This window comes from Homo sapiens, chromosome 7 (assembly GCF_000001405.40).
Source record: "Homo sapiens chromosome 7, GRCh38.p14 Primary Assembly".
Lineage (NCBI taxonomy): Eukaryota > Metazoa > Chordata > Mammalia > Primates > Hominidae > Homo > Homo sapiens.
Window position 1 is genome coordinate 48,202,906 of NC_000007.14, and position 22,194 is coordinate 48,225,099.

At 38.4% G+C, this 22,194-nt stretch overlaps 1 protein-coding gene across 29 annotated transcripts in view; it reads left to right on the top strand.

Moving 5' to 3' along the window:
* Nucleotides 1–22,194, top strand: part of ABCA13 (ATP binding cassette subfamily A member 13) — a 476,040-nt gene that overhangs the window by 31,448 nt on the left and 422,398 nt on the right. For 28 of the 29 annotated variants that reach the window (XR_926914.3, XR_926915.3, XR_926919.3 and 25 more), the window contains exons 4-5: nt 16,449–16,600; nt 18,376–18,404. Coding sequence is in view for 26 of the 29 variants with exons in the window: in XM_011515130.3 (XP_011513432.1) it covers nt 16,449–16,600; nt 18,376–18,404 (181 nt within the window). In the remaining 3 variants the exon portion in view is untranslated. Of the gene's footprint in view, nt 1–16,448; nt 16,601–18,375; nt 18,405–21,598; nt 21,652–22,194 lie in introns of those variants that run through there. The other variant, XM_011515136.2, reaches the window with a different exon arrangement.

The window sequence follows — 22,194 nt, forward strand, 5'->3', positions numbered from 1 at the left end:
GCGCCCGCGCTCCTCAGCCCTTGGGCGGTCGATGGGACTGGGCGCCGTGGAGCAGGGGGCGGCGCTCGTCGGGGAGGCTTGGGCTGCACAGGAACCCACGGAGGTGGGGGAAGGCTCAGGCATGGCGGGCTGCAGTCCCGAGGCCTGCCCCACGGGAAGGCAGCTAAGGCCCGGCGAGAAATCGAGCGCAGCGCCGGTGGGCCGGCACTGCTGGGGAACCCAGTACATCCTCCGCAGCCGCTGGCCCGGGTGCTAAGTCCCTCATTGCCTGGGGCCGGCAGGGCCGGCCGGCTGCTCCGAGTGCGGGCGGGGCCCGCCAAGCCCACGCGCACCGGAACTCCAGCTGGCCCGCAAGCGCCGCACGCAGCCCCGGTTCCCGCTCGCGCCTCTCCCTCCACACCTCCCCGCAAGCTGAAGGAGTGGGCTCCGGCCTTGGCCAGCCCAGAAAGGGACTCCCACAGTGCAGTGGTGGGCTGAAGGGCTCCTCAAGTGCCACCAAAGTAGGAGCCCAGGCAGAGGAGGCGCTGAGAGCAAGCGAGGGCTGTGAGGACTGCCAGCACGCTGTCACCTCTCAATAAGTTTCCATGACCTCCCTAATTCCTCAGGTAAGTTCACTTTGGGCAGAAATCCTGGGTACCATCTGATGTAGCTTATGGTTATGAAAATCAGCTTCCTCATTCCTGCCTTTGTTGGGGGGTTTCCCCTTCATTTTAACAAGAGGATTTCAGAGCAGAAATATGAAGCACTGCAGGCAACAGAAGTGGATATTCTTGTGTTAGTGGTCACTCCTATTTTGTTTAATTTAAAATGCTTTGTAATGCGAATGTGCTGTCTAAACCCGACCCTCACTTCCCTTTCACTGTCTGACAACCTTCGGGAGGCGGATCGCCATACCCATGCTGGGGCACTCCCACCCTTAGTCTACAGCACCCGGTGCCTTGCCTTCTGGGCTTTGATTGGGTGACCTTTCATTTCCAGTTTCTTGAAATGTTTCCAGCCATTTCCTACTGGTCTCATTTGGTGGTCATCAATATTTTAATTTATTTTTTTCTCCATTCTCAAACATGCCCAGACCCCCTGAGAATCATCTGACCCTCTCTGCCTCTTTTCCAACCACCATACTGCCTGGTTCTCAGCCTTATTTGATTATCACCTGCTGCTGCCTCACCTCAGCTTCTCAGTTTGCTTTTCACTCTCTTGACACTCTTTTTTTTTTTTTTTTCTGAGACGGAGTTTCTTTCTTGTTGCCCACGCTGGAGTGATATGATGAGATCTCGGCTCACCCCAACCTCCGCCTCCTAGACTTATAATTTTTTTTTTTTTTGAGACAGTCTGGCTCTGCTGCCCAGGCTGGAGTGCAGTGGTGCGATCTCGGCTCACTGCAACCTCCGCCTCCCGGGTTCAAGCGATTCTCCTGCCTCAACCTCCTGAGTAGCTGGGACTACAGGCGGGTGCCACCATGCCCAGCTAATTTTTTGTATTTTTAGTAAAGAGGGGGTTTCACCATGTTGGCCAGGCTGGTCTTGAATTCCTGACCTCAGGCGATCTGCCCCCCTTGGCCTCCCAAAGTGCTGGGATTACAGGCGTGAGCCACCGCGCCCGGCCTATCCTTGTTTCTTAAATGGCTTTCCTGACATGGAGACGTAACAGCATTAGATTCGCCAGGGAGAAGGATTCCTTCTGTGCCTGCCGTCCCATTCCGATGCTTTGGGGCCCTCCACAATGATGAGTACTCCCCTCCCCTTCCTCCGCACCTTCCACCGCATGGTCGGCCTTTCTCTTTTTGTATTCCCCATCTGTCCAGCCCTTACACAGCCCAAGGTCTTCCTCTTCTATATGCAGTCAGCTCTGTCGTGGTCAGCTACCTGCTCGCGATGCAGCACCATGGCTTCTGCACACTGAGGAAAGACAACTCCGGATGGGTCTGGGGTTTATTTCCCAGCCCCTTTCATAACTTAGTGGAGAGCTGGCCCAGGAGGGGTGAGTGAAGAAAGAAAAAACGATCCAAGCTCCTGAGCCCAGAGTCTCCCCTCCTGACCCAGCCACTTGCCTAAGGAAGCCCTCCCTGTAACTGCAGTCACTTGTCTACCTGCAATAGAGCATTTTAGGGCTGGGTCTCTGTCCTGGGGTTCTCTCCTTGCCCTGCCTAGGCATGTCTCTTGATGGACTGTTGAAAACTTGGGAATTATGTGCTTTTTGCTAGGTTTTTATTTTTAAATTTCTCCTCCAATAAAACTTATTTTATTTTTACACCGTGTTTAGTATTTCAATTTTGTTTTCTTTCCTACTTCAGGTTATAAAGATAATTTCTTACATTATTTTCTTAAAGTATTATAGTTTTTCCTTTCACCCGCTGGTCTGGAATTCATCTGGGTTTTACGTCTATGTATGGTGAAGGTAATGATTTAACTGCATTTTTTTTCCATTTGGATAAGTATTTTTTCAGTTGTATTATTAAACAGTTTATCAATTTCACATTGATTTGTAATCCCATTGTGACATGAATTAAGTTTTTGTATGTGGTGCATCTGCGTCTGGCTTCTCCAACTTGTTATAGCCCCAGCCATTCCTTGAACTATACCCTGCTGTCTTACTGTAGCTTTCTAATGTCTTGATATCTGAAGGAGTAAATGTCTCTATCTTGCACTTCTCCTTTAGGGAAGTCTTTGTTCTTCCATGTAAGTGTAACAACCTTGTTGTACAAGTCAGTGAAAAATATTATTGGGATTTTTATTGGAGTTGCATTGCATCTTGAGATCCTGATGCATTATTTAATTTATTTAGGTTTTCTTTAGTGTCTTTCAACATAGCTTTATAGTATTTTTTCATGAAGGTTATGCATATCTTTCATTAACTTACTTCCTTGTTACTTTATATTTGTTGTTGCTATTGCAAATAGTATTTTTTAAAAAGTTACACTATGTTACTTATCATTGCTTGTGTAATGGAAATAAAGTTAATTTTAAAAATCAACTTTATTGATCTATACAATAACATTTAAGAGTACATTTCAATGAATTTGACATGTCTATGCACCTGTGTAACCACCATCATGATTGAAATATAAAGCATCTTCATTTTCCTCAGAATTCTCCTGTGCTCTATCCCAGCCCAACCTACCTCCACTCACCCCACATCTTCAGATCCAGGCAATAGCTTGTCTGCTTTTGGTCATCTAGATTAGATTTGCCTTTTCTAAATTTTATATAAAGGATATATCCTTGGTGTTTGGCTTCTTTCACCCAGTAAAATGTTTTGAGATTTATTTATGTGGTTGGTTGTATTAGTATGGTCATGCACCACTTGACAATATTTTAGTCAACAATGGACTGCGTATATGACAGGGGTCACATAGAATTATAATACCATATCTTAACTGTACTTTATAAATGTGTAGACATGCAAATGCTTACCATTGTATTACAACTGCCTACAGTATTCAGTACAATGACATGCTGTACAGGTGTGTAGGCTAAGAGCAATAGGCTACACCACATGGCTAGGTATGTAGTAGGCTCCACCATCTAGGTTTGTGTAAGCATGTTCTGTGGTGTTCACACATGATGAAATTGCCTAAGAATGCATTTCCCACAGTACATTCTCTTCTTTAAGTGACAGATGACTATAATTCATTCCTTTTTATTTTTCCCATGGGTAAGGATGACCCAGGATGTTCTTTTCTGTTTTTTTGGTTAATTTTTAAAAAAAATTTTGTTTCTGAATATATATTTTAAAAGTCTTTATTTTTAATTATTGTGGATACATACTAGTTTTATATATCTCTGAGGTATGTGCAATATTTTGATACAAATACACAATGCATAATGATAAAATCAGGGTAATCAGGATATCCATCATCTAAAGTATAAATCATTTGTGTGAGTGTGTGTGTGTGAGTGTGTTAGGAACATTCCAGTTTCACTCTTTTAGTTATTTTGAAATATGTAATAAATTATTGTTATCTATAGTCATCCCAGTGTGCTACTCAACATTACATCCAACTCCTTCTATCTAACTGCACTTTTGTACCCGTTACTTATCCCCTCTATATCTCCCACCTCACCACTACCCTTCTCAGCCTCTGGTAACTATCATTCTACTCTCTGTCTCTATGAGTTTAATTATTTTAAGCTCCCACATATAAGTGAGAACACATAATATTTGTCTTTCTGTGCCTGGCTTATTTCCCTTAACATAATGCCTTCCAGTTGCATCCTTGTCGTTGCAAATGACAGGATGTCATTCTTTTTTATGGCTGAATAATATACGTACTACATTTTCTTTATCCATTTATATGTTGATGAACACTAAGGTTGATTCCATAGCTTGGCTGTTTTGAATAATGCTGCAGTAAACATGAGAGTGCAGATGTCTCTGTTTTTTTTTTCCTTTTGGATTGGATTTATACACAGCAGTTGGATTGCTAGATCACATGGTAGTTTTATTTCTAGTTTTTTGAGGAACCTCCCTTCTGTTCTCCATAGTGGCTGTACTGATTTACTTTCCTGCCAACAGTGTACAAGAGTTCCTTTTTCCCAACCCCTCACTAACATTTGCTATTGCTTGTCTGTTTAATAAAAGCCATTTTAACTGGGATGAGATCATATCTCATTGTAATTTGGATTTTCCCTTCTTGGATGAGTAGTGATGTTAAGCAAGTGTTCATGTCCTAGTGACCCATTTGTATGTCTTCTTTTGAGAAATGTCTATTCAGATTTTTGCCTATTTTTCATTGAATTGTTTGTTTGTTTTGTATTGAGTTGTTTGAGCTTGTTATATATTCTGGTTATTAATCCCTTGTCATATGTGTAGTTTGCAGATCTTTTCTCCCATTCTGCGAGTTGTTTCTTAACTTGGTTTGTTATATTATTTTCTTTGCTGTGCAGAAGCTTTTGAGCTTGATGTGATCCATTTGTCCATTTTTACTTTTGTTGTCTGTGCTTTTGAGGCCTTACTCAAGAAATCTTTGCCCAGACCTATGTCCTGGAGTGTTTCCCCAAAGTTTTATTCTATTAGTTTCATAGTTTCAGGTCTTAGATTTAAGTCTTTAATCAATTTTGATTTTTTTTTAATATGGCAAGAGATAGGGGTTTAGTTTCATTCTGCATAAGGATATCCACTCTTAGCAGCATTTATTGAAGAGACTGTTCTTTCCTCATTGAATGTTCTTGGAGCCTTTGTAAAAAATGAGGAATTTAATGCTTGGATTTATTTCTGGGTTCTCTGTTCTGTTCCATTGGTCTATGTGTCTGTTTTCATGCCAATACTGTGCTGACTTGGTTACTAAAGCTTTGTAGTATATTTTGAAATCAGGTAATGTGATGCCATCAGCTTTGCTCTTTTTGCTGAGGATTGCTTTGGCTATTTTAGGTCTTTGTAGCTGCATATAAATTTTAGGATTTTAAAAAATGAATTTTTTTTCTATTTCTATGAAGAACATCTTTGGTATTTTCATAGCGATTGCATTGAATCTGAAGATTGCTTTGGGGAGGATGGACATTTTAATAATATTGATTCTTCCAATCCATGAACACGGAACATCTTTCTAACTTTTTGTGTGTCCTCTTCAATTTCTTTCATCAGGGTTTTATAGTTTTCATTGCAAGGATTTTTTGCTTTTTTGGTTAGGTTTATTCCTAGGTATGTTATTTTATTTGTAGCTATTATAAATGGTATTGCTTTCTTGGTTTCTTTTTCACATTGTTCACTGTTAGTGTATATACATGCTATTGATTTTTCTTTGTTAATTTTGTATCCTGCAACTTTACTGAATTTGTTTATCAGTTCTAATAGTTTCTTGGTGAAGTCTTTAGGTTTTTCTAAATATGAGATCATGTTATATGCAAACAAGGATAATTTGACTTCTTCCTTTCCAATTTGGATTCCCTTTATTTCTTTCTGTTGCTGGATTGTTCTGGCTGGGACTTCCAGTGTTATGTTGCATAAAAGTAGTGAAAGTGGGCATTCCAGTTCCAAATCTTAAAGAAAAGGTCTTCAGTTTTCCCCTGTTCAGTATGCTAGTAGCTGTGGTTTTGTCATATGAGGTGTTTATTGTGCTTGATTGTGTTCCTTCTATATCCAGTTTTTTGAGAGTTTGTATCATAAAGGAATGTTGAATTTTATTTAATGCTTTTTCAACATCTATTGATATGATTATATAGTTTTTGTCCTTTGTCTTTTGATGTGATGTATCACATTGATTAATTTGCATATGTTAAATCACTCTTGCATCCTTGGGATGGATGAATCCCACTTGGTCATAATAAATGTAATATTAAATGTAATATTATATTTACATGTAAATTTAAATGTAATATTAAATTCAGTTAAATGTAATATTAAATTCAGTTTTGTTGGTATTTTGTTGAGAATTTTTGCATCTATGTTCATCAGAAATATTGGCCTCTGGTTTTCTTTTTTGTTATTTTTTTGTGTATATGTCTGGTTTTGGTATCAGGGTAATACTGGCACTGCAGAACGAGTTTGACAGCATTCCTTCCTCTTCAACCTTTTGGATTAGTTTGAGTAGGATTAGTATTAATTCTTGTTTAAATGGTAAAATTCAGCAGTGAAGCCATTGTTTGGGTCCTGAGCTTTTCTTTGATGGGGGAATGTTTATTACTGTTATCTTATTACCTGTTGTTGGTTTATTCAAATTTTGGATTTCTTTGTGGTTCAATATTGGTATGTTGCATGTATCTAGGAATTTATTTATTTCTTCTAAGTTTTTCAGTTGAAGAGGACACACAAAAAATAGAAAGATATTCTATGTTCATGGATTGCAATAATCAATATTAATAAAATGTCTATGCTTCCAAAAGCAATCTGCAAATTCAATGTAATTTCTACCAAATCGATGTATTGATATATAGTTGCTCACAGTAGTCTCTGATGATCCTTTGAATCTTTGTGGCATCAGTTGTAATTTCTCCTTTTTTGCCTCAAACTTTATTTATTTGGGTCTTCTCTGTTTTTTCCTATGTCAGTATTGCTAAAGGTTTATCAATTTTGTGTATCTATTAAAAAAACTTTTTGTTTCATTGATCTTTTAAAGAAAACTTCTGCTCTGATCTTTATTATTTCTTCTACTAATTTTGGGCTTGTTTTGTTCTTGCTTTTCTAATTCTTTAAGATGCATACTGTATTAGTCAATTCTTATGCTGCTATGAAGAAATATCCAAGACTGGGTAATTTATAAAGTAAAGAGATTTAATTGACTCACAATTCTGCACCGTTGGGGAGGCCTCAGGAAACTTACAATCATGGTGGAAGGGGAAGCAAACATGTTCTTCACATGGCGGCAGGAGAGAGAAGCATAGAGCAAAGGGGGAAAAAGCCCCTTATAAAACCGCCGGATCTCATGAGAACTCACTCACTATCATGAGAAGAGCATGGGGGAACTGCCCCCATGATCTAATTACCTCCCATGAAGTCCCTCCCACAACACATAGGGATTACAATTCAAGATGAGATTTTGGGTGGGGACATGGCCAAACCATATCACATAGTTAGGTTGTTTATTTGAAGTTTTTTTTCTTTTTTTAAAACTTTTGTGATGTAGGCATTTATTGCTATAAACTTGCCTCTTAATACTACTTTTGCTGTATCCCACAGGTTTTGGTACGTTGTTTTTCTATTTTGATTTTTTTTTAAACAATTTTAAAATTTCCTTCTTAATTTCTTCATTGACCCAGTGGTAATTCAGGGGCATATTGTTCACTATTTCTGTGTTTTTACAACTTGCAAAGTTGATCTTGTTATTGATATCTAGTTTTATTCCACTGTGGTCAGAAAAGATACTTAATATAATTTTAATTATTTTGAATTTTTTTAGACTTATTTTGTGGCCTAATATATAATATATCCTTGAGAGTGTTCCATATTCTAAAAAGAAGAATGCAGATTCTGTAGCTGTTGGATGGAATGTTCTGTAAATGTTTATTAGGTTCATTTCATCTATAGTGTAGATAAAATCAAATGATTCTTCATTGCTTTTCTGTTTAAATGATCTGTTCAATGCAAAATATGGGGTGTCAAAGTCTCCAGCTGTGATTATATTGAGATCTCTCTCTCTTTAGCTCTGTTAATATTTGCTTTTTATATATGGATGCTCCAGAGTTGGATGCACCCAATTTATATTATTATATTTATATTACATTTCGCTGTCTGAGAGGTCACATATCTCTGTCACTGCAGGATTGGTCACTGATTACTTAGTTTGTTTGGTGAGGTTGTGTTTTTCTGGATGTTCTTGATGCTTATGGATGTTCATTAATGGCTGAGCATTGAAGAGTTAGGCATTTATTCCAATCTTTGCAGTCTGGGCTTGTTTGTACCCATCCTTCTTGAGAGGACTTTCCAAGAATTCAAAGGGGAATAAATGTTGTGACCTAAGCCTGTGGTCACTGCAGCTGTTTCAGCACTAGCTGTTTCATTCCTAAGCCCAAGAATGCTGCAACTCTTGAAGACTCCCAGATAATCAGCCTTGTTGGACTTAGGGAAGTTAAGAGAGCATTCTCTGGGTTACCAGTTGAAGTCTCTTGCTCTCTTCCTTCTGTTTCCCCTAATCAGAAGGAGTATCTTTCCACACTGGGCTGCCTGGAATTGGGGGAGGGGTGATGCAGGCACTCCCATGGTACCATGTTGGGTCACACCTGAAGCTCATGTTCTTCCTGATGAGTACAGTACTGGGGCTTACCCAAGGCCCATGGCCACTACTTCCTGGCTGCTGCTGATGTTTATTCAAGGTTCAAGGTCACCTTACTCAGCAGGTGGCCAATCCTGCTGGGACTGGGTCCATCCCATCAGGGCAGCAGATTCTCATCTAGCCTAGATGGGTCTAGAAATGCCATTGGGAAGCAAAGGCCTGGAATCAGGGGCTTCAGAAATCTGCCTGGTACTTTATTTTACAGTGGCTGAACTGGTATCCAGCTTGCCAGACCAAGTCCTCTGTAATATTCCTTCTCCCTTCCTCAAGCAGAAGTCTTTCCCCAAGCTCACTGCCTGGAGTTGGTGGAGGGTTGATGTAAGCACTCTAATGGCTACTACATCTGGTATTGCATTGGTACTGCAACTCCACTGCCTTCAAAACCAGCAGAACACCAGGGCTTATCTAAGGACTGCAGTTCTTGTGGCCTGCCTGCCACTCAAATTTATTTGGGATCTCAAACCACTTTATCAGCCTGTAGTGAGGCCAGCCAGGACTTGGATACCTCTTGCTGTGGCACAGGATGCTCATCTGGCTCAGGGCTGGTCTAAATGCTCCCTCTGTGGGCACCAGTAGAATTCTGCCCTTTGTTGCATTCTATTGTGATAGGGCAGCACTGAGTTTCAGTACAAAGATTCACACTTAGTTTGCTCTCCCTCCCTCAAGCACACAGAATCTTTCTCCATGCTGCACTGCCTGGGATTGAGTGAGGAGAGGTAGGCAACGCAAGACTGTCCTTTCTATCTTCTTCAGTGCCTCTTTCCATCTTAAATGTTATGAACATTAAAAAATAAATCTGTGTGTGGACAAATATTTTAATTTTTCTTGGGTTAATACCTAGGAGTAGAATTCTTGGGATAAATGTTTAGTGTATGTTTAGCTATATAGTGTATGTCCAGGCTGTTTGTTCGAAAGTGTTGTGCAATTTTATACTCCCAACATCAATACATAAGAATTCCAGTTGCTCCACATTCTTGCTAACACTTATTATGTTGTTCTCTTTAATTTTAGCCATTATACTGTTGTATTGTGCTTTCTAATTGTAGTTTTAATTTACATTTTCTTGATCAGGAATGATGTTAAGCATCTTTTTATGTGTTTATTGGCCATTTCAATATTTTTTGAGGAAAGTGTCTGTTTAAATATTTTATGCAATTGATTTTTTATTTTTGGTTTTATTGAATTCTTAGAGTTTTTTTACATATACTGGTCACAAGTCTTTAATCATATGTATACATATTATACATGTATTGCAAATATTATTTTCTCATTTGTGCTGTGTCTTTTGAAGAGCAAGGGTTATTTTGATAAAATATAATTTATCACTTTTTTCTATTTTGAGTAGTGCTTTTTGTGTTTTTCTTTAACAAAGAAATATTTGCCTAATATTTTTGAAGATTGTTCAGATTTTTTCCTGTATTTTCTATGTTTAATAATTTTAGCTTTTGTTTATAGGTACAATTTATTTTCAGTTTATTTCTTTCTATGGTGTGATGTAACTTTTGAGGTTTATCTTTTTACATATGTATATACAATTCTAGTAGCATTTGTTGAAAAAGCTATTCTATTTCATTAAAATACATTGGGACCTTTGTTTAAAATCAGTTGATTTGTTAATAGTATGAAGGGCTGTTTTTGGACTCTCAGATCTTGTAGGTTTCATTTCACAACATCAGAATATAGCAAATATTGCAATAAAGTGAGTCACATAAATTTTTTAGTTTTCCATTGCATATAAAAGTTATGTTTACACTATATTGCAGTCTGTTAAGTGTGCAATAGCATTGTCTAAAAAATGTACATAACTTAAATAAAGGAACACTTTATAGCTAAAAAATGCTCATGATCATCTGAGCCTTCAGTGAGTCAATCTTTTTGCTGGTAAAGATCTTGTTTTGTTGCCGATGACTGCTGACTGATCAGGGTGGTGGTTGCTGGAGGTGGAAGTGGCTGTGGCTATTTCTTTAAGTAAGACAGAAATGAAGTTTACTGCATCATTGACTGTTTCTTTCATGAAAGATTTCTCTGTAGCATATGATGCTGTTTTATAGCATTTACTTACAGTGGGACTTCTTTCAAAATGAGAGTCAATCTTCTCAAACTCTGTCACTGACTTACCAACTAACTTTATGTAATATTCTAAATCCTTTGTTATCATTTCAGTAATGTTCACAGCATCTTCACCAGAAGTAGATTCCATCTCAAGAAACCACTTTGCTTGCTTATCCATAAGAAGCAACTCCTCATTCATTAGTTTTATTATGAGATTGCAACAATTCTGTCACATCTTAAGGCTCCACTTCTAATTCTAGTTCTTTTGCTATTTCCATCACATCTGCAGTTACTTTCTCCACTGAAGTCTGGAACCCACTCAAAATCATCCATAAATTTGAATCACTATCTATGACTCTATAGCTTTATGAAATTCATTTCTTAAATAATAAGATTTGAAATTTGAAGTTACTTCTTGCTCCACGTGCTGCAGACTGGATGTTTGTTAGCAGGCTTGAAAACATTAATCTCCTTGTACGTCTTCATTGGAACTCTTGGATAACTGGCTGCATGGTCAATGAGCAGTGATATTTTGAAAACAACATTTTTTTCTGAGCAGTAGGTTTTGACAGTGAGTTTAAAATATACAGTAAAACATGCTGTAAACAGAGGTGCTGCCATCTAAGCTTTGATATTCCATTTATAGAGCACAGAAGCAGTTGATTTAGCATAGTTCTTAAGGGCCCTAGGATTTTTGGAATGGTAAATAAACACTGGCTTCAACTTAAGGTCACCAGCTGTGTTAGCCCCTAACAAGAGAGTCAGCCTGTCCTTTGAGACTTTGAAGGTAGGCATTGACTTCTCCTCTCCGGTTAATGAAAGTCCTAGATAGCATCTTCCAATGCAAGGCTGTTTCATCTGCATTGAAAATCTGTTGTTTAGTGTAGACACTTACACCAATTATTTTAGCTAGATCTTCTGGAGAACTTGCTTCAGCTTCTATATCAATGCTTACATCTTCACCTTGTACTTTTATGTAATGGAGACGGCTTCTTTCCTGAAACCTCATGAACCAACCTCTGCTAACTTCAGACTTTCCTTCTGCAGCTTCCTCACCTCTCTCAGGCTTCATAGAACTAAAGAGAATTAGGACCTTTCTCTGGATTAGACTTTGGCTTAAGGAAATGTTGTGGCTGATTTGATCTATCCAGACCTCTAAAACTTTTTCCATATCACTTTCTTATCATTTGTGTTTTCACTGGAGTGGCACTTTTCATTTTCTTTAAGAACCTTTTCTTTGCATTCACAACTTCATTAACTGTTAGTGAATTGCATTTATTAACTGCTTGGTGAAAAAGTCCTAGCTTTCAGCCCATCTCAGCTTTTAACATGCTTTCCTCACTAAACTTAATAATTCTTAATCATTAATAAACATGGGAGGTGGAGGTTGCAGTGAGCTGAGATTGTGCTACTGCTCTCCAGCCTGGGCAACAAGAGTGAGACTCTGTCTCTAATAATAATAATAATAATTCTAATAATTCTAGCTTTTGATTTAAAGTGACAGACATGTGACTCTTCCTTTCACTCGAACAATTAGAGGTCATTGTAGGGTTATTAATTAGCCTAATTTCAATATCATTGTGTCTCAGGGAACAGGAAGGCCCGAGGAGAGGAAGAGAGATGGGGGAATGGCCAAACAGTGGAGCAGTCAGAATACACACAATATTTATTGATTGAGTTCTCCATCTTATATGGGCATGGTTTGTGGCATCCCCGAGCAATTATGATAGTAATATCAAAGATCACTGATTACAGAACACAATAGCAGATATAATAATAATGAAGATTTAAAATATTTTGTGAGGATTACCAAAATGTGACACAGAGACACAAAGTGAGCACATGCTGTTGGAGAAATGGCATTGATAGACTTGCTCAGTGCAGGGTTGCCATGAACCTTCAATTTGTGAAAAATACAGTATCTGTGAAGCACAATAAAGCGAAGCATAATAAAACAAGGTAGGCCTGTACACAATTCAATAATTGTTAGTATATTCAGAGCTGGGCAACCATCATCACAGTTAATTTTAGAAAAATTTCCCCAACCTGACAAGAAAATCTAAATGTATTAGCATACACTTCTCATTTCCTCCCAATCTCCCCCACGCCTAACCCTGGGCATACAACTAAACTACTTTCTGTCTCGATAGATTTTACTATTCTGGACATTTCCTACATATAGAATTTGTATAAGTTATAGGCTTTGTTTGGTGACTGCCTTCTTTCACTTAGCACGATGTTTTTAAGGTTCATTCATGTTGTAGCATCTAAAATCCTTCATTTTAAAATTGATGATCAACTAATATTCCCTTGTATAGATACAGGACAGTTTCTTTATCTTTTCCTCTGTCGAAGTACATTTGAGTTGTTTCCACTTTTAGCCTATTATGAATAATGCTGGAATATTCATGTGCAAGTTTTAAAATAAATGTATGTTTTTGTTTCTCTTGAGTATATGCTAGGTCATATGATAGCTCTACGTCTAACATTTTGAGAAACCGTCAGATTGTTTTTCAACGTGGCTCTACCATTTTGCTCTCCCATCATCAGTGGTAGAAAGCTTCAATTACTCCACATTCTCACCAATACTTATATTTCTGTTCTTTAGATTGTAGCCATCTAGGTGGATATAAGGAGTTATCCCATTGTGATTTTGATTTACATTTCCCTAGCGGTTTATGATGTTGACAATCTTTTTATGTAGTTTTTGGCCATTTGTATATCTTCCTTGGAGAAATGTCTATTCAAATCTTTTGCCCATTTTAAATTGGATTATTTGTCTTTTTATTATAAAGTTGTAAGAATTCTTCATATATTTTACAGACAAGTCCCTTATTAGATATATGATTTCCACATCTTTCCCCCCCATTTTCTGGGTTATCTTTCCACTTTATGATTGTGTTTTTGAAGTAAAAGTTTTTAATTTTCATGAAGTCCAACTTATCTTTTTCTTTTGTTGTTTGTGCTTTTGGTGTCATATCTAAAATGCTCAGCCTAACCTTCAATCATAAGGATTTCCTGCTATGTTTTCTTCTGAGTTATACAGTTTAGCTTTTACATTTTAGTCTATTATCCATTTTGAGTTGACTTTTGTGTATGGTGTGAGGAAGGGATACAACTTCATTCTTTTGCATGTGGATATGCAGTTGTCCTAAAGGGTTACCTTCTATCTATAGATTAGTTTGGAGAGAATTAACATTTTAAAAACATTGAATCATCCAATCCATGAGCATGATATAGCTCTCCATTTATTTTAAGCTTTCTGGAATTTCTCTCAGGAATGTTTTTGTAGCTCTCAGTTCTATGTATATTTCATTAAATGTATTCCTAAGTAGTTAATATTTTTTGGTATTGTTTTAAACATTTTGATTTCTCAAAGAACTAAGAATAGAACTACCACTCTATACAGCAATTTCATTACTGGATGTCTATCCAAAGGAATATAAATCATTATATTAAAAAGATACCTGCTCTTGTGTATTTACTGTAGCACAATTCACAAGTGCAAAGTTATGGAGTTGACCTAGTACTGTCCTCAGATCCTTCCTCTCTGGCTCAGATGAATGGGAGCAGTAATGTGAGTCAGCCATAACAACCTTCTTAGGAGAATTACTTCTGCCTTTGGATCTGCTTAGAGATAATTCTCATTTGATAACAATTTGCCCTGTTTGTCTAAGCAAAAATTAACAAAAATTGTAATAGAAAGAATAATCATATTGCTTCACATTCCTTGCTTATTCTTGTAGTCCTTATGCTGAAAATGCACATATCTCAGTGTTAGTCTCACCACTGCCGCTTCTCTTCCTGCTTATTTACACAGTGCTGGGTGCTGGATGATCCTCACACCACCCTATTAGGTAGGTAATATTTTGATCTTATTTTAAAGATAATCTCCCAAGTGTGACACTGCTTTAAACACATTTTGACTCCAAGGGAGCTCTCATTGGGTCTAAGTTTTCTCATCTTCAAACTGAGGAAGGGACCTGAATAATGATTTCCAAGGCCCCATGTACTTCTGACAACCTCAAGTGGGTCCTTCACAGAATTGCAAGGATGTCTCTAGGTGCAGCATTGGTTCCTGGCCCTTTGAAGGGGTGATTCTCAGTGTCAGTCTGAGGGCTGGGAAAGTTCAGTCATCTCTGCCCAGTGGCCTTCTCTTGATCTCCCCACTGTAATCTCTTTTATCCCCTTCCCTTTGCAAGTCTTTTCCTAGCCTGGCAGGTCAAGCATTACCTGATAAAAGTCTCAATAAAGACCTGTACTCAGAAAGGAGGAAACTGCTCTCCACCCAAATCCTATTATAGCTCTGGGATTTCCCTGCTGCTCTGGAATTCACTCTCTCTCTCACACATACACACAAATTAACATTTAATCAGGATTTTCTATGTATTTTTCTGCTATAAACATTTCTCATGTTAATGATAGTTCCTAATTTGGTCTTAAGGACAAATTGAGGTACTTTTGAGATAATAACTAGAAAAAGAATGTAAAACCTGCTCATTATTACAGGGGAAACTCATCTTGAATTACATCAGTTTCTATAATCTGATAATTCTATGGTTTCCGAGGCGAATCTCATGTATGGGTGAGGCAGGAGAGTTTGAATCATGGTTCATAGCTTTCAGAGGTCATTTTTAGCCTTTAATATGAGGCCTCAGTAGAGAAGTAATTTCTTGTTGTGCTTTTGAAATTCTGATCCATTCAAGTTGAAGGCCACACTTAAAAGGTAAGATTTCTGGCTGGTCATGGTGGTTCATGCCTGTAATCCCATACTTTGGAAGGCCAAAGTGGGAGGATCACTGGAGGCCAGGAGTTCAAGATGAGCCTGGGCGATATAGCAAGATCCTCTCTCTACATTTTTTTTTTAAAGCAAAGCAAAACAAAACAAAAACAGGTGAGATTTCTGTTGAGTGTACGTAGCAACCACCTGTAGTAGAAGGTCCTCTAAGCCAGTGCTCAGTTCTCTGGGCTCCAGACCTAGCTTTGCTGCAAACATTCTGCTTGCTTTTAGCAAATTCACTTTGATTGTCTGGGCCACATTTCCTCATCTCTAAATAGCTGACTTGAAAGGCATTGAATTTATTTTATTCATCAGTAAATGTTGAACCTGCTCTGACTTCATTATAGGTTGTGAGAATTAAGTGATAATATTTGTGGAAGAGATTTACTGTAACTCTTTGTGATGTAAGCTTTGTTATTTTTTCATGGTAGATATGCATGTTGACAACTGTTAATTCATTTTCACTATGTTCTCTAATTTGTAAAATAAAGGCATGGAATTAAAAAACTAAAACATTCTCCGTAATTATCTCTGTCTCCTCCTCATGCACAGATCATATCATGTCCGTACTGTTCACTGATGTATTTATTCCAGGCACCGTGTGCAGGGCATGCTGTATAATATGTGTTAAATAAATTTAAAAAATGGCTTATAAACATAAAATGGCTAAGCTTTCAGATAATACAGAGAATGAGAACGATTTTCTAATTTTAAATTTGTGAAGATTTTTTAAATAATGATTTCTCTTTTGGATGAGGGTCAGGTGAAATGGGCTCTCAGGGTAGATGATGAGAGTGTAAGTTGGTACAAGTTTAATTGAAAGCAATTTGGTATCAAGAATCTTAAAAAATGCCAAGGAAACTTATTCTTGTTAAAGAGTTTCACTTGCAGTATTTATTCTGTTTAAAGTTTGTCTAGGTTCCAAACTGCAGCTGACCCCAAGAAAGTCAACAACCTGGCCTTTTTAAAAGAGATACAAGACCTGGCAGAGGAAATTCATGGAATGATGGACAAGGCAAAAAACTTAAAAAGACTTTGGGTAGAACGATCCAACACTCCAGGCAAGTAAACCTCTCATAACTGTGACACTACCTACCTGGACATAGCTTAAGGAGAGCTGTGGAGGCTATGAGAACCCAGAATGCTAAATGCTCAACTCCTGCCTGTGCTAAACTTTCATAGTGAGTCTTTGATGGATGAGGCCAGCACCTGCAGACGGTTGTGGAGGGTGGAGCTGGATTCTCTCTCCTCAACCCCCTCGGAAGGCACCTTGTGCAGTGCACACACTGCATAACCTTCAGAGGGCTGCAGCCCATCCTGACTTTGTCTCCACAGTTACCTTCTCACCACTCTGCCTACTCCTTTACACTCTTCGGCTGTTGTCTTCCTTTCTTGCTTTCTCTTATTCTGTTTTTAAAATCTGTCCCCACCTTCCCCAAACACACACACACACACACACACACACACACACACACACACACACACACACATTCCCAATTCATTTCCTCCTTCTTGTATATTTGGATTGGTCTTTTCCATGTTAGTAACCCTTTAAGACTGGCCTTGGATGATTTATTTACTTTGATTACAAACCTTTTGGATTATTGGGGTGGATTATTCCCTAAACAAAAGCAATTTCTGTTTATTATAAAGAACATCCACATTATAAATGGCTTCATCTTATTTATAATCTATAGTAGGGAAAGTTAGGATGGATAAAGATCTTAGAGAGTTTTGCTTACAAATGGAGAAGTTTGCACCTCAGAAATAGGCAGCCAGTTGCCTCTCTTCACATCCCTGAGTCATTGCCTATTGTGATATTTGTTAATAAATGGGGGCATTCAGTTAAATTTGAAATTTAAATAACAAAAATTTGTTAATATATGTATGTCCCAAGTGTTACATACTTGGGTAAGAAATAATTTATTTCTAATCTGAAATTGAAATTTAACTGGATGTGTTCTATTTTAAATTTGCTAAATCTGATAATCCTAAGTATATAGCTCCAACTATAATTCCTATGTAATTTTTTCTTTCTTCATGGAGTGTATACAAAACCACGAAATAAAGAGTTTGGCAGAAACATGAAGAATGGGCTTCCCAAGGCAGATGGCATTATGTGGTATTTTTAAGAGACAAAATAGCACCTTTGTCCAGGATGGGGCAGGGCTGGCCATGGCCTGCCTGAAAGCTGATTTCACAATGGACCCAAAATGTATCAAAATAGACCAGAATGGTTCCAAACACCAAATGATGGAGTTCTTATATTACACTCTATTTTGGGGTCATTCTACTTTTATAAAATTTGATTTTCAAATGAGGTTTTTAACATGCTATTTAAAGAAGAATTAAATTTTTTTGAGATGAAGTTCCCACTTTATTTCTAGTTTTCTATTATTTGAGCCATTTTCTGTGAGATATGTAACTTAAAATAATCTGAAAAATTATAATTTCACTTTTTTCTCTTCAAGTTTTTCCTTCATTTTTTTCTTTTTAAAAAAATTTTCATTTATTCCCTCTCTCCTATCCTGAATTTTTGCAATGCCCAGTGAAATTAGATACTAATTAAATAATACAATACCCTTTGGCAAATTGTTGAAATTTGGTTTACCAGTTAAATTTTTTCCATGAATATACTTAGATTTGGAAATCTATGGTGATAGCTTTCTTCAGATAAATCTTATGAAGATAGATTTATTCTTCAGTTTTGGTGTATTTGATTTTTGGGCCAGGGCTCTTGGATACTCCATTTGACTTTAGAATTAAAAGTAGGCATTTAGCATGTGCTTTTTCATTGATGATTGAACTAATATCTCTTAAACCTTCTTTATTATAGATTCTTCTTATGGTTCCAGTTTTTTTACAGTAAGTATCTTAACAATAGTTTGAAAATTAGTCTTCAGAGACAGAATGGTTAAGTTTACAACACTGTTTTTAAGTTTACATTTTCAAAGATTATTTCTAATGACTTGTATAACAATTGTATAGAAGCTGGATTTGAGAGAGCCAAGGTCTTTGTAGATACGGGCTAAAAGACAAGTTTGAATTTTCTGAAGCAAGGCTCTGGGTCTGTGAAAAGCAGAGGTGAAACCTGAGGCCAGCAGGTGGTGGGCGATCCACAGAGTTGCTTTGTAAGATGGGTACAGAGTTTATCTGATCCCAGGGATGGTCTGAGATTTGTGCTTGGCACATAAGCGGTGACTCCCTCGAGGCACGAAGCCCTCAGTTAAGGAACTAGTTATCAACAGGGGGGATTTTGACCTCCAAAGGATATTTGTCAATGTCTGGACATATTTTTGGTTGTCATAACTGTGGACCAGTGGGGAGGGTAATATTAACCTCTAGTGGGTTGAGGCCAGAGATGTCGCTAAGAATCTTACAAAGCACAAGACAGCTTCTACAACAAAGAATCATCTGACCCAGAACATCAGTAGTCCGGTTGATAAGCCTCAAGTTAAGGTGCAACCCTGACAATATTAAAAATTCTTCCTTGCTCATATTGCAGCACCAGACACTGACTGACTGTACAGGACTTTGTAGTAACATTGCATTAACAGAAGCATATGTGTCTGTATCTGTTTAATTCTAAGAAAGATTTAGACAGCTCAAAAAAAATATGCCATAAAACCATTAGGAGAAAAGTAAAAGAATAGGGGCCAGCTAATGGATTGGAATGAAGCAAGAATGTCAGTGCATCCATTAAATAATGACACTAGCAAAGAGTATTGAACAAACACTCATCTTAACTTGGAGATTTCTGATGCACCAGGTCAAAAGGAAAATATGGGACACACACTCAAAATCTTACAAATAATGAAAGAACTTAAAAATAGAATAAACCATCACTTTAATGATTAAATTAGCATTTAAAAAAGAAATTATAATACCTGATGCTTGTGATGTTGTAGCTTACTGATATAATCTCATATGGTTGTGACAATGTAAAAAGATATAATAATTTTTGGAAAAGCAACTTGATTTTCTTGCTCTGTAATTGTTCTGAAAATTAATGTTATGTATAATACAAGGGAAATAAAAAGCTGTATGCATAAAATGTTCATTGATAATGATGGATAATTCAAATTTCCCAAAGTAAGATAAGTTGACCTTGATGGCCTTCTTAGTACAGTCACTTAATAGTGAGTATGGTATGTGGAAAATGAGTATGTTATTAGATCAAGTGTAAAAAGCAGAGGACAGTATCATATCCATCGTATGTTTGCGATGTAAAAACATTTCGGTGCAAAGAATTGAAGGAAAAAAGATTTGTTACAATGAAAGAGTTCTATGTTGCTTTTTTATTATAGAATTCTGATAAAGATGTTATACCGTTTGATTTTCACTGAGAGTGAAATGGCTATCTGAATAATCTGAGCAGAGGAATGGTGGGACTTGAGTTATGTTTTTGGAGGATTTCTTTGGACATTGTGTCAAGCAGAGACCGACGGTAGCCAGAGCGGAAGTGGGAGCCCACGTAGGGAATCAGCTCATCCTTCTATGCAACATTAAATGGAGGTATTTTAGAACAGACGCACAGTTAGTGAGGGAGGTAGTGAGATGTGAGGGTGGTTTTGATATATTTTGGAGGTAAAATCAGTAGGCTCTGTTGATGAATGTGAGGTAGGTTATGAGAGAAAGAGAAGAATCAAAGATGACTCTATGTGGTTTGACCTCAGTAATTGGAAAAATGGAGTGGCCATTTACTGAGGTGGGGAAAGACTGAAACAGGTTTTTCTGAGGGGAGAGGAGGAGAGGGTATAAAGGGAAATCAGAAATTGATTTGGGGGATGTCAGTGAGATATCCAAGTGGCATTGCCAAGGAGGTTGTGGGAGTTTCCAGTTTGGAGCTGAGATAAACTCTCTTGGCTGGATATATCAATTTAGAAAGTGTTGGTGCATAAATGAGACTTCAAGGTCATCAAGGGAGAGTGTGTAGACAGAGCAGAGAAAGAGGGCTGAGCACCAAGCACTTGCATTTGAAAAAGAGTATCAGGCAAGGAGGAGGAAGGTGAGAATGTGGGGTGTTGTGGAAGCCCAGGAAGGCAATTTTCTAGGAGATGGGGATGATCCATTGTCTCAAGTGTGGCTGATTGATCATGTAAGAAGAGGATGGAGAAGTGCCACTGGGATTAGCAGCATGGAGTTCATTAGTGATGTTGACAAGAAAGGCTCTGATGGAATGATGAGGGTAAAAGCCTGACTGGAGTGGGTTTAAAAGAGAGTGGGGGCACTCCGGGCTCAGTGGCTCATGCCTGTAACCCTAGCACTTTGGGAGGCTGAGGCGGTCCAATCACCTAAGGTCAGGAGTTCAAGACCAGCCTGGCCAACATGATGAAACCACTTCTCTACTAAAAATACAAGAATGATCCAGGCGCGTAATGGCAGGTGCCTATAATCCCAGCTACTCGAGAGGCTGAGGCACGAGAATTGCTTGAACCTGGGAGGCGGAGGTTGCAGTGACCTGAGATTGTGCCACTGCACTCCAGCCTGGGTGACAGAGCAAGACTCGGTCTCAAAAAAAAAAAAAAAAAAAGAGAGAGAGAGAGAGAATGGGGGCAGGTAAGTGGAGACAGAGAGTGTATATGACTCAAGATGGTAGGCTGTGAAGCAGTGAAGTATGGGGTGGAAGCTGCTGGGCATTGCAGAGGCCTTTGCTGTCTGTTCCCACCCTGCTGGCTCTCTAATTTCTCCCCAGCTAAGATGGACAGTTCCCCGAGAGCTCAGACATCTGGTCACAGGGCCCCATGTCAAACACATGCTGAGAGTATTTTGCTTTCTGTTCTTCCCCGAAGTCAGTTCAGCTTGAGAGGGCAGGGGAGCTAACAACCCCATTGCAACCCACAGCTGGGGTGACCACCAGACTCACATTGCCTGGGACTGAGAGTCCCTTGTTCCAGGAAACATCTCAGTCCTGGGCAACTGGGGAAGGTTGGTCCAACTTCCCCCAGCAATGGTTCAACTCTGGGCAGTACCTTTGTTCCTGAGAGGCTTTGAGGATTCAAGCCAGCATGGCCTGTGCAGGTCCTTGATGGCTGCATTGACTTTTCCCTCTTTCCCTCTTTCCCCACTGCAACATGGATGTTGCAGTGAACCTTCTCCAGACCATTTTGAAGTGAGTGAAAAAGAAAAACATAACTGAGTATCAATATGTTGTTTTTTTACCTTATTTTTAAATGGGAAATAAAAATTACTAATTGTTGGATTTAAAAAAACCTCACAATAATGTTACCTTGAAACAAGAGGAGCTTCTGCACCTCCACGAACGTCCCTCATCTGTCTGTGTACATATTTTATATACAGGCAGTGATGTTGTTCAGAGCGTGTGCTCCCTGATTTAAAAAAGTCAGCGCCATATTTTAATATTTCATATGTTGTTATAGTTTATAAATGGCCAGTTTTAATCGCTGCAGCATTCTTTCCACCTCCTCAGCTCCTTCTTCCTGGGACCATCTCCTGAATAAGCCACCTATATACAAGTCCTTGTTGCAGGGGAACCTAAACGGAGACAGGAGATATGGATTTATTTTCCTTCTTTATTATTATTATTATTTTTTTAGAGACAAAAAATGCTCTGTCGTTGAGCTTCAAACTCCTGGGCTCAAGCCATCCTCTGGCCTCAGCCTCCCTAAATACTGGGATTATAGGCGTTAATCAC